At 40.9% G+C, this 13,199-nt stretch overlaps 1 protein-coding gene across 4 annotated transcripts in view; it reads right to left on the bottom strand.

Annotated features, from left to right (window-relative positions):
* PREX2 (phosphatidylinositol-3,4,5-trisphosphate dependent Rac exchange factor 2) overlaps positions 1 to 13,199 on the bottom strand; it is a 284,987-nt gene that overhangs the window by 246,694 nt on the left and 25,094 nt on the right. The window contains exon 1 of one of the 4 annotated variants that reach the window (XM_047422267.1): positions 9,511 to 9,588. The exons of the other annotated variants lie outside the window; for them this stretch is intronic. Coding sequence (XP_047278223.1) covers positions 9,511 to 9,516 — 6 coding nt within the window. The 5' untranslated portion in view covers positions 9,517 to 9,588. Of the gene's footprint in view, positions 1 to 9,510; positions 9,589 to 13,199 lie in introns of those variants that run through there. 4 annotated transcript variants of the gene reach the window in all.

Genomic DNA, 13,199 nt, shown 5'->3' with positions numbered 1-13,199 from the left:
ACAGACAGCATCACCCATATCCAGCAACACCAGGACTCTTAAGATTCACTCCAGGCCTGGGGCAGTGGCTCACACTTGTAATCTCAGCACTTTGGGAGGCCAAGATGGGCAGATCACTTGAGGGCAGGAGTTCAAGACCAGCCTGGGCCACATGGTGAAACCCCATTTCTACTAAAAGTACAAAAATTAGCTGGGTGTGGTGGTGCATGCCTGTAATCCCAGCTACCTGGGAGGCTGAGGCACAAGACTCGCTTTAACCCAGGAGGGAGAGGGTGCAGTGAGCCAAGATGGTGCCACTGCACTCCAGCCTGAGCAACACAGCGAGACTGTCTTGAAAAAAAAAAGATTCACTCCAGAGGTTTACATTTTTACAGATGAGCAGTTTACAAAGCCTTAAAACTCAGAAATTATTGGTCCATCTAGCAGAAAATATTTTGTTTGTAAACATGCCTGCATTTTGAATCTATCAGCTGCATATTTAAAAACATATGGAGACAATTGTTTACAGAAATGTGACATTTCTTCAAGTGTGTCTCTAGACAGGTTATTTTAAATGCTTATTTAGATACACTTCCACAGCCTAGAGGATAATTTTGAGTCTTCAGAAGGTCACTGAATTTAGCAATAACACATTGAATAATTAAAGAATAACAAAGCTATTTTTACGTAATACTGAGACAACTTTAAATCGCTAAGGTAAAGTCATAAACTTTCTACTTAAAGTGGCAAAATCATCAATAGTTTTGTATAAGTATAGAGAAACATTATTAAAAAACACTACATATATGTAATCTCGGCTAATTTGGCTAAACAGTTCAAATACTTATCAAATTATAGTAATGTATCAAGAATGACAAAGTAACAAAAACACAAGTCATTCATTCAATGTTGAGAAGATAAATGGTATTATTATTTAGTAACCTAATATTTCATTTAACCAGATCTGAAAATTTTAAATTCTTAGAATAGTTAAGATTTAGAAGTTTTAAAAATACATTTAAAACCATTCTTAAGCAAAATTTAGGTAGAAAAAAAGAACTATTTAATTCGAAAAAACTATTATAAGGAAATCTATTATTCTTTCTAGTCACTAAATTATAATGTCTTTTGTATTTAAATATAAATTTGGAACTTTTTCTACTTATTTTAGCATCACTTTTTTCTATTAAATATTAGCTTTCTTTTCCTATCTTTTTTTTCACATCCATTCCTCATTAATTTTTCTCTCCTTCTCCTAAACTGGGGGTCACATACTCAGATGGCTCCAGAGCAGACAGACACAATGAGCAAAGTGACAGCAGGTACTCATGTCCCCAGGCAGAGGTCACAAAACAGTGGCCTGTGAATCTGGCCAATACACGTGCTTGGTTTGCTTTTAAAAACATTTAGAAAACTCTGATGAAAATATAGAATTCCAACTTACTCTGGAAAATCAGGTGTTCTAGGATCACTACGGCCATGCTGCCTCTTGGCGATAGTTGGCTGGAGCTGAGTCTCACAGTCCATGGGGTGGGGCACAGGCTCTCTCCACCTTGTCACCTTCCCCACCACCTTCTTGTCATGTACGCGTGACCTGTCAAGCTTCTGGGAGCTTCCCAACTTTCTCACAAAAGGCTGAGCTGGTCAAGGAGAAGGCCCCTAACTTACGCCCAAGACTCCACAGGTAGGGTGGGGGCCTGCAAGGTGAAAGTGAGCAGTGGGCACCAGCCTTGGGAAACAGAGAAGATGGGAAAAGTCTCCTGTGTCCATTTCAGGCATTCAGGAGCCAGTGTTCTATTATGAAAGAGAAGAGTCAGGTAGACCTGAGCTTCCATCAGGGGCTCAGCCATGGGACTCTCAGTTGTAGGACCTCGGTGGATGCCTGGCTTCCCTGTGAACAATGGCACTTTCATTCATCTCTGGTGAGGACTGTGAGGAGGACTAAGTAAAGTGATGGATGCATTGTGCCAGGCACATGGCAGAGCTCACCTGACTCAGGGAGCAATAGGGACTTTGGTTAGAGAAATTGGTTTCAAAGTCCAGTTCATAAAGGTTTCAGCAGAGCTTCAGCCGTGGTGTGCAGTCACACTCAACTTCTTACCACTATCAATTCTACTGTTCTAAGCCTGGTTCCATGCCAGAGTGAGGGAAGAGGCTGACCAGAATTTAGGAGAGGCAGATAGTAAGGTAACTGTGGGCTCTGGCATATTTTAAAAACTAAAAGAATAGGAAGAGAGGCAATCCAAAAGTCTATGACTAGAAGGTAGAGGTGTTCAGATATTTTCTATGGTACAAGGATGAGGCATTCATTTTGCGAGGGAACAAAAATGAAACGGGTTATTCACACTGAAAAACTATCTTTGCATACCTGCTCTTCTACCTATGGGGACTGCAAAGACACTGCGTGTATTGCATGTGTGTTCACACACACACACACACACACACACTCCCTGGCTGCCACAATTCCTGAGGAAGACAGACACATCCACAAATACCTGATGTGGGGCTTGTCTTAGCAAGTGAAAGTCTAGAAATGGGAATTTACAGAGCACAGAGAAGGAAGATATTAAATGGAACTGGAGGGTATCCTAGACAGATGCTTAGAGAAGATGGAGTGTGAGCATTACAGACCGAGAACGGCTTCAGCAGGCAGGCGAGGTTGCAGGGGAAAAGGCGCTTCTAGCAAAGGGAACCACTTGAGGCCAGATCCAGAGGCAGAAGCTACCAGATCTGTGTGAGGACAGATGATCAGTCCAGCGCACGTGATGGGGACATGGGGGAACAAGGTAGGAGATGAATCTGAAATGTACCTGGAGAGGAATGGTGGATGCCTTTCAATGCCAGCTGCAACTTCATGCTGGACACACTTGGTAACTGAAATTTTGCCCCAGTGCACATCAATCTCCCCACAGAAAGACAACCCCTGGACCTGTGCAGAAATCCAGCCGATTGAAGAGGAATAAGAATTATTCTAAAGGTGACCAGACAGTACAAAGAAAAAGAATTAAGCTTTATGGTGCTAATAGTGGTTCTGAATTGATTTATTTAGCGTTGATAGCCAAATACCTTGCTAGCTTAACTTTAAAAAAGAGTTGACTGGCCTTATATAGCTCCAAAAAAATGAAAACAATGACTTGAAAAAGGAGCAAAGAAATACATCAGAAATTAGTTAGTGGTGTTCTTTTTTTTTTTTTTTTTTTTTTTTTTGAGATGAAGTCTCACTCTGTCGCCCAGGCTGGAGTGCAGTGGCGTGATCTCTGCTCACTGCAAGCTCCGCCTCCCAGGTTCACACCATTCTCCTGCCTCAGCTTCCCAAGTAGCTGGGACTACAGGCACCTGACACCGTGCCCGGCTAATTTTTTGTATTTTTAGTACAGACAGGGTTTCACCATGGTCTCCATCTCTTGACCTCATGATCCACCCACCTCAGTCTCCCGAAGTGCTAGGATTACAGCTGTGAGCCACCATCCCTGGCCAGTGATGTTCTTTTTTAAAACATCTTTAAGTTTGGTTTTCGTGAATTCCAAATTGCAACACAAGACATTATCTCTATTAGTACTGACAAGAGCCAAAAAGAGTCCTAGAGATCACTTGAAGCTCTTGGCCTTACTGTTACTCTCTGCCCCAGGTTGTTGGCACTGTGTTCTTCAACTCCATAAGGTTCTCGAAAGAAAGGCACCATGCTGGGTGCCAGCAACTCATAATCAAGCCCCTGCCATTAGAAGTTCACTATATGATAGAAGTGATACACATGTAAATCTATGACTTAAACCCAATGAGATAAATCTCCATGAAAGTATTACAGAGGACTCAGAGGCCAATCCAGCTAAGATGTCTACATGTAGCAAGCAAGCACGTCATTTGCACGTAGACAAGCCACCTGTAGTCAAGCCACCTGCAGACAGGATGCCTGTAGACAGGATGCCTGCATGGATGGAGCAGCCCTACGCTCCCGGCATGCCCAGGCAATGTAGTGTACTGGCCAAGAGCAGGAACTCCATCACAAGACTTCTTCAGTTCAAATCCAAGCTCTGCTACTTCCGAGCTGGGTGATTCTGGGAATTTCTCTAATTTCTCTGTACCTGAGTTCCCCATCTATAAGAGTGCCTACTCTCTGGGATTACGGTGGAGATTAAAAGAATTTATATACACACACTGTGCCTTGTACATAAAATCATTTTCATCAATATAACCTGGTTATCCCAAAAGAGATAGTAGAAAGGCATATTAATTTTTCCCCCATTTTTCCTGTCTCCAACCAAAAGAAAGATTACGAAAACCAACTTTTCTCTCAAAACGCTTTTGCCAGTCAAGTGAAATTAACCTTGAACTTCCATCTCCCAAGTGACAGCTGGCCTGAGATCTTTCTACAACTATGTGTGGCTTCCTATTCATAAAGTTTCCTTAAAGCTTCAATTAGATCTGTGTTCCCTGCTAGAAACCACATGGTCTGATAATAGAATTAAAGGGACACCACTCTGGATAGCTCTGGTGGGGAACACAGGTCGCTTGCATGGATGGAGCAGCCCCATCGCCCACAGGGAAACAGTTGCCCCTAGGACCAGCCAAGCCCAATGGCCTGCCCAACATCACCCTGAAACTGTCCTCTGCAACTGTGTTTGGCCATGCAGGGAAGAGTATCCTTCTTAGTTCCCTTACAGCCTACTGTACTCAGCGGCCCTCCTGGGGAGTCTCTGCCTCTGAGTTCAGGATTCACCAGCTGCCCTACTTAACAATGAGAGCTTGGTGTCCCAGAAGAAATGATCATTTTCCTATCTCCGACAATAAGAAAAATTAAGTGCACGGTAAATCATCACACTCACAGCTCTAATATTGACATTTAGACCAAAGAGAACTACCTTTTCCATATTTCATTAGGTTTTTAAAAAGAAAACTTGGGTAAAATCCACTGCAACTATATTAGCATCAATGTTAAGTATAATCTAAAAACTGCTTGTGTTAAAATTAAGACAAATATGGTCATTGAAATTAAATATTATATTATATCAAAAAAATTATAAGAAACAATCCTTAGAGAAAAATCAAATTTCCCACGAAGCTACTACTTTACCAAAAGCATCCCCTTTATTCTCATCCCTCTAAACTGAAATCTGTTAATTAGGTTGGCAGCAAAGCCTACCAAATGCTGATGAGTATTCACGATGCTATTGTGTTTGGCTTTCAAAACAAGTCATGGTTAGGAAATCAACATAGGAAGCATACTTCAAACATCCAAAAGCGTTTTTCTCTGCCTAGCAACTGGCAAGAACTTGGTATGTTTTCTCTGCTTCTATGTCATGTTGCTCTGGTCACTGGAACAACGTAGTCGCTACAAAAGGCAAGAAAAAAAAAAAAAACTTGTGTACTTAAGCACAGCCCAAAGTCCTAACAGGGACCCGTGCGACTGGGCTGGGTGCCTGGGCTGGCTTCCTTGCCAAGGAAAGGGGAGGTGGTGAGGCCCCCTCTCCCTCTCCGTCCTGGTTTCCTCCTCACCCCACATCGCAGCTAGGACCTTCAGCATTTCCTCTTCTGGGAAGGCTGGGAATTGGCTGTTTTTATGAAATGAACATGACCCAGAAAAGCATTCAGCATGATCAGCTTGTGCATTCGAGAGTCCTCAGCTGTACTTCCCATCATGAAGTGTTTGAGCTCCTGTTTATTAAAGCACAGCTGGAACCGGCAGACCTGCAGTCTTCCAGGCTAACAGTAACAGATCTTTGGCACTGAATTGCCACAAGTCCTGGCTTGCATTTCTACCTAGGAAGTTGAAGAAATTCCTTTCTTATAAACTACCAGAAGTAGTTAAATAAATGAACAACTCACAGTAATTATTTTCCTTAATCAGGCATGTACTAATCAAACCACAGACACATACATACACATGCATGTATGTATGCACATCACCATGACACTGCGATAACATACTCTGGATTTCATGCCTAAAACATTAAGTGATAAAGTGCTTTCCTGTTCAATTCAAAAAGCACAGTTCAACAATTATTTATTGAATACTATGTGCCAGGCACTGAGCTAGCTTCTAAGAAATCAATGTTGAATAAATCATACTCTTCGTTCTTAATGAGTTCATGATCCAGTAGGGGACACGGATGTGTATATGAATACTTGCATGAAAGTGTGCTGCACAAATATTTATTTTCAAGGTTCAGAAGTAGAAGAGAAGATGGAGTGATCAGTTCTTTCTGAAGGTGGAAAGGGTGATGTGGAAAAGCTTTACTAAGAAGCTGACACCTTAGAACGATTCTAAAGAATGGACAGAAATTCAAGTTGGGGAGGAAATGCGGGGAACACTCAACATAGGGAGAATAGCAGGATCAGAGGCATGAGAATACAAATTCCCAGAGCAGTACCAAGCACGGCATTAGATTGATGTGCACTACTATGTGCCAGGCACTGTCCTACACTCTTTACAGGTATCACCTCAATCTTCACAGCAACCCTATGATGCTGGGACCAATATCATCCCCATCTTACAGATGTGAAAATGGAAGGAGACAGAGATTAAGAACTTCTAGGATCACACAGCTTTGATCCCAGCCATGTGGACCCAGAGCTCACGAAGAGCTCACAACCCTAATCACTACTAAGGAAGCACTCAATAATAACAATAGCTAATGGAGAATCAAAGAGTGGTCAATAAATGAAGAAAACTAAACACTCAATTCTGGAGCAAAAATTTCATGAAGTCTGGCAGAAGGAAGAGGGCAGGAAGAGGATACTGCTGGAAATTTGGGATCCTGGAGGCCCTCATGGGCAGCTTAACTGCTTGGAACTTGCCCTGTGGCCATTGTGGGTGACTGAACTATATAGGAAGTTCACTATCATGGCACAGTTGGGAACTTATCTGAGTCAAGAATGAATGGAGGCAGGAACCTCAATTAGGAGGCTATTCTGATAACTCAGGTGAGAATCTTAGCATAAAAACTAAGTAACAGGAGGATGGAGAGATGAAGGAAATGAAAAAGTGCTTACATATTCGAACATCACTCAGCCAGCACAGCTGGGCAATGCAGGGAACAACCTGCATCTGCAGGTCTCTTTTCATGAATGCCTTGTGGGGCAGGGCCAAGGTAAAACATAGTTTGTTTCTTTCACCATTGATCCATCATCATCAGTATGCAGATACCAAACAAAGGTTCAAAATCTGTTTTCATCACAGTAATGTTGGCTTTTGAGGAAGCACACAAACTTAAAATTTTAGAAATTAGCATATCTGCTTAAAAAAATACCACCACCACTATGGCCCATATAAAGTAAATGTTCTGCCAATGTCTTTCAATATTGTGTAAAGGAATCAGGAAAAAGAGATAAAAACTAAAGCTTAACAATGTGGTTCAACTAAATCAAATAAAGATTTGAGGACCTGCATACCGAAATTGAGGTATTCCAAGACATACCACAAAGAAGATGCTAAAGGCCATGCCAGAATGAGCATGAGGTCTATTGGAGAGGGTCAGACAATTGAACAAGTAAATATAATGTTAAGGCGGGAAATCATTAATGTCATAGACAAGTCAGAATATTCTATGACAGTTTAAAAGAAACTGTAATCCCATTCCATCTTGAGGGTCAGAAAAATTTTATAAAGTAGGCAGCATTTTAGATTGGCTTTGAGAGGCTGTATGCATAAAGAAGGAAATATAAAGGCAAAATACTATCAGCTGTTCTTATACATAAAAATACATCTATGCAAGTGATCAGCAGCTCTCATTAGGCTCTCTACCAAATTCCCAAATGAAATACATATATTTTTTAAATATTTTACCCATAAACAATGACAATTCTAATACATGTCAATGTATCTTTTATTAGTGATCAAATTCCCTCCCATCCCTTACTACCTGAGGGGGAATCCAGGTATTACAATTGCAAACAGCATGGCAGGCATTATTATTTTCCACACTTTTAATTTTTTTTTAGAGACAGGGTCTTGCTCTGTTGCCCAGGCTGGAGTGCAATGGCATGGATCATAGCTCACTGCAGTCTCAACCTCCTGGGCTCAAGCTATCCTCCCACTTCAGCATCCCAAGTAGCTGGGACTATAGGCACACACCACTATACCAGCTTTTTTTTAAATTTTTATAGAGACAGGGTCTCACCATGTTGCACAAGCTGCTCTCAAACTCCTGGCCTCAGTGATCCTCCTGCCTCCCAAAGTGTTGGGATTACAGGTGTGAGCCACCGCATGCAGAGGCTATCCACACTTCTAAATCAGGGAATTGGGACAAAGCTATTACATAACTTTCCTGAGGTCACACAGCTAGAAAATGTTGCAGCTGGACTCAAGTTATTTAAGTTCTACTTGTTCACTGGTAAAAGGAGACAGGGGATTAAAACAATCCAACTATCCAAGTCTGTTGTGATGATTAAACCAGATAGAGTATATAGAGTGCACAGCTGAGCATCAGGCACTAACAAGCACTCAATCCCTGATAGCTGCGATTCTTATGGAAGCCTCTCAATTGAGCAACCAAGTCACTTCCCAGTAGTAAAACCACTAAGAAAACCTCACAGCACATAGTTCTTACCTCATGCCCAGGGCTCACTGGCTTCAGAGCTCCTAAGTGCATGCAGCTCAGGCTGCCTGATTAATATATATTTTAAGGATATCAAGAGTATCTGTATTTTACACTCAGATGTCTTCTAGTGGTGTTAAAGTTCATTGAAGTAAAACTCTGACAGCTCACGGTATCCCTAACAAGGTAGCACCACCCTTAGCTGAAACACTCCCAGTTACACAGCGAACTTGTCACTTAGACATATTTATTTGGTCTTGTTTAGTTTCCTGTTCACAAGGAAAAGCATTAGAAGGATCATCTCATCACAGAGCTAAACCTACCTCCCTGGACTTCTATCTAGTGGTTATTGTCTCCCCTCTTGCTCTCAACAACTGTGATGTCTCCTTTACTCAATTAGAGGGTAAATAGCCTGTTTCATTACCTGTTTTGCCTGCAATATTGTTCTCAGACTTCCACTACATTGGTTTCCTTCCTCTGGCCATTCTTTTCTCTGTAACTGTCTCTTTTAAAAGATGGCATCCAGAACAAATTGCAATCCCTTGACAGAGTGTGGAGCAGTGCTATCACCCTCCTTTATCCAGGTCTTCCTGACAAGACATTCGCTTCTTTTATCAATGTCATAAGGCTGTTCCCTTATATTAGGCATTTGTTGGAAACACCCAACATCTTTTTCCCAATAACTGTGAACTATAGGACACTGTATTTATGCTTTAAATTGTACTTTCCTATTTTCAGGCTATTACACTTCCTATCAAAAATAATTATGTTGTTTGCTCCTGTTATTTACCACATTTGCTGCTATTCCATCCAATTGCCCCCTAGATTACTTACACCAGGTTGTTGAATGGACAAAGTGATGAAGAAAGCCACGCGCAGTTGTATTAGTCCATTCTCACACTGCTATGAAGAAATACCCAAGACTGAGTAATTTAAAAGGAAACAGGCTTAACTGACTCACAGTTCAGCATGGCTGAGGAGGCCTCAGGAAACTTACGATCATGACAGAAGGCAAAGCAAACAGGTCCTTCTTCACATAGCAGCAGCAAGAAATTCAGACTGAAACAAAGGGGGAAGCCCCTTATAAACCATCAGATCTAGTGAGAGCTCACTCACTATCATGAGAACAGTATGGGGGAACCACCCCCATGATTCAATTATCTCCACTTGGTCCCACCCTTGACACATGGGGATTATGACAATTCAAGATGATATTTGGGTGGAGGCACAGCCAAACCGTATCAGCAATGTTCTGCAGTACTCTAATGGAGGTTCCCTCCAAACACTGTTCCCACTTAAACTGTAGCTTCTCTCCTTTAGGAATGGCCAACTGAACTACTTTTTGTTCTGAGAACATGTTGCCGGCCCTTCCCCCTCCATTTTGCATATCCTTTTTGTTTATTTTTGGAACATCCAATCCTATTCTTTGTGCTGCTCAAAAGTCTACCTTTTCTTCAACTCCTATCAATTCCACAAAGGGTTACCAGTCCCAGGTTACTGCAATATTCCAAGTTAAAAAGTAGAGTGGAGACCCTGGGGGAAGGCTAGGCTCTTAGTTTCTCACAGTGAAAATGGTAACCTACTTCATCCCCACTCTTCCCCTCTCCTCTTTACCCAACATGCCCTAAGTTCTGAGCAAAGGGAACTTGCCACTGATTTCTGAATATGCCAAACCTTTCTCAGCTCTGTGCCTTTGTATCACGCTACTCTTTTGCATAGAAAAACTTTTTCACCTCTTTGCTCAAATTCCTATACTTCTTTCAAGTCTCAATTCAAGTTTTATCTGTGCTGTAAAACTTCCTGGACTCCCCTAAGCAGAAGGAGTTGCTCTGAACCTAGTTTGCTTGTCTGTCTATGAGATGGCATATTGTAAGTGTCTGTCTACATGTCTGGTATTGCAGTAGACCATGATCTCCTCCAGGGAAGAGTTAGGTCTATGAAACTTGAAGTACTCAGAGTAGTATCTGCTCCACGGAAAACACTCAATAAATATTTACTGCATAAATAAATGAATGGGAAGATGTAAAAGACATCATAGTATTTTTTTTAAAAGCATGCTAGTAACTAAAGAAGTAAGGATAAATCAAGATAGAAAGTGTATGGCATTTGTTTGTAAACATACATATTTTAAGCTTAGTAGCTGAAAGACTCTTTAATCTTTTATATGTCCTGATTCTTCAGAGTTAACAACCACAAACACAAACCACAAACCATAAAACCATCTGACATTAATTTGAATTTCCATGTCATTTATTTTTGTCCAAGAGCTACACTTTACCAGAAAAGAGAAAAAAAGAGTCTGGCGTTTTGGAGTCAAACTTTTCCATATGATATTGGCATTTAAGTAAGTGTGCTGGGATTGAAAATAATCAGACCTGGCTTATTTGGAACAGTTTTTTCATTGCGATTTTTAAAGTAAATAGCCCCAGTGATACACCAAAAAAGCAACAAAAAGGGAAATTCCTCAAGTTGATTAGATGTGAAGAAAATGTAATTTTAGTACTCATTAATTTACCTTACAGTAAATGATATGATAGAGCTCTAAGGACATAACTCAACAAAAGAAGAATAGTGCCCTAAGATGCTTTTCAGTTGTACACACCAACATAATTTGTTACTTCTATCCTAACAAGTGATTCACTGAAGCTTAAACCCCTTCAGTATAACAGTACACAGAAACTTCAGCTGTTTATTAGTATCCTGTCTTTTATCACTGTAAGAAACAAAGTGATTTTCTTTCTCACGCTATTTGCAAAACAATAGCTCTGAGCAGATGAAATGTTTTCCAATAAGCTGTTATTAATTCAACAAGAATGTCTAATTGAAAGGACATTTCCTATTTTTTATACTTACATACTGTAGTGTAAAGTGCATGATTAATTTAGAACTTCTTTTTAGAGAACCAAGCATATGTGCTGTAAAACTTCTAAGTGATCAATCAGCATATATTTCTTGAATAACTACTCTAAGCTATAAACTCTGTTTACTAGGCATTATCATAAGAATAAATATAGATATATATGTATAAAACCTAGCCATTATACTCTAGAGTGGCTTATAGGCTACTTACAGATATAAAACTAACAAGTTCAAAGGCAATCATAAAACCATTGAAAAACCACCCAAGAGAAAAGTGTGCATACATTTACCAAAGACATTTAGAAGACTGAACTATCCACAATAGTCGACAACTGGAAACTACCCAAATATCCACCAAGAGTAGAATGGATGAAGCGTATTACATTCATATAATGGGATACTACATAGCAATGCTAATGTTTTAACCACAGCTCCAGTCAATAATACGGATAATCCCACAAACATAGTAAGTGAAAAGAGTATATAATGGATTATATAATGGATAAGTCTATTCATACAAAATTTTAAAACCAGACAAAACAATCTATGGTGCTGGAAGTCAAAGTGGTTGCTACCCTTGGAGATGGCTGTTGCTGAAAGGGAACACAAGGATGGCTTTTGAGGTGCTGGCAATATTCTGTCCCTTGCTCTGGATGTTAGTTACACAGGTGTAAGGATATGGGGAAAAAAAACTCAGTTTCTCCTATGATACTCTCACAACACAGAAGGCTTCTGTAGCCAAAGGTGTATGTGCGGGGGGAGAGGAGGGGGGAGATTTCCCCACACACCAAGTAAGCAATCAATTCTGCAGTGGACACCAGGTGGACAGATAGCGTCAGATTCCACAGGTTGAGGGCTCGGTCCCACAAGACTAACCCCCACTTCAGATGCCAATCACATGCCCCGGGTTGTGACCTGTGTTTCTGATCAACCAGCTAAAAACCGGGGTTCCCCTCACCCTTCCTTGGGTATGATTAGTTTGTGAGAGCAGCTAACAGAACTCAGGGAAACACCTACGCTTACCGATTTCTTATAAAGAATATTACAAAAGATACAGGTAAACAGTCAGAAAGAGATGCATAGGGCAGGTTTGTGCGAGGGGATGCAGAGCTTCCATGCCTTTTCTAGGCATGCCACCCTCCAGGAAACTCTACATGTTCAGCTATTCAGAAGCCCCCCAAACCTAGTACTTTGGGGTTTTTATGGAAGCTTCATTATGTAGACACAATTGATTAAATCATTGGCCACTGGTGATTAGCTTAACCTTCAATTTCTCTCCCCTCCCCAGAGGTTGAGTGTGGGGCTGAAAAGTCCCAACCCTCTAATCATGCTTTGGCCTTTCCTTTCCTCATTCTACCTAGGGGATTCCAGCCATCAGTCAAACCAACAGCATACAAAGGTCACTCTGTCACTCCTGGGATTCCAAAAACTGTAGGAGTTGTATGTGAGGAAATGGGGATGAAGGCCAAATACATCTATGTTATTATAAGAAAAAAAATCACAATATCACGACAGGTGTGTTTAACTGGTGAAATTTATTAATAATTTACACATGTTCCTGTATGTTGTTTCAGTTATCTGTCACTGCATGTCATAGTTCAGGCTGCTAAAACAAATTACCATCAACTGAGTGGTTTGTAAACAACAGAAATTTATTTCTCACGGTTATGCAAGCTGAAAAGTCCAAGACTGGGGTGCCAGCAGGCTATGGTGAGGACCCTCTTCTGATGATTTCTCCTTATATCCTACTGTAAATGAAAGACGGGGAGAGAGCTCTGTGGAGTTCTTTTTATAAGCGTACTAATCCTATTCATAAGGCCCTACCCT

Source organism: Homo sapiens, chromosome 8 (assembly GCF_000001405.40).
Source record: "Homo sapiens chromosome 8, GRCh38.p14 Primary Assembly".
Classification (NCBI taxonomy): Eukaryota; Metazoa; Chordata; class Mammalia; order Primates; family Hominidae; genus Homo; species Homo sapiens.
Note: the sequence above shows the minus strand (reverse complement) of the source record. Positions and strands in the feature narration are given on the sequence as shown.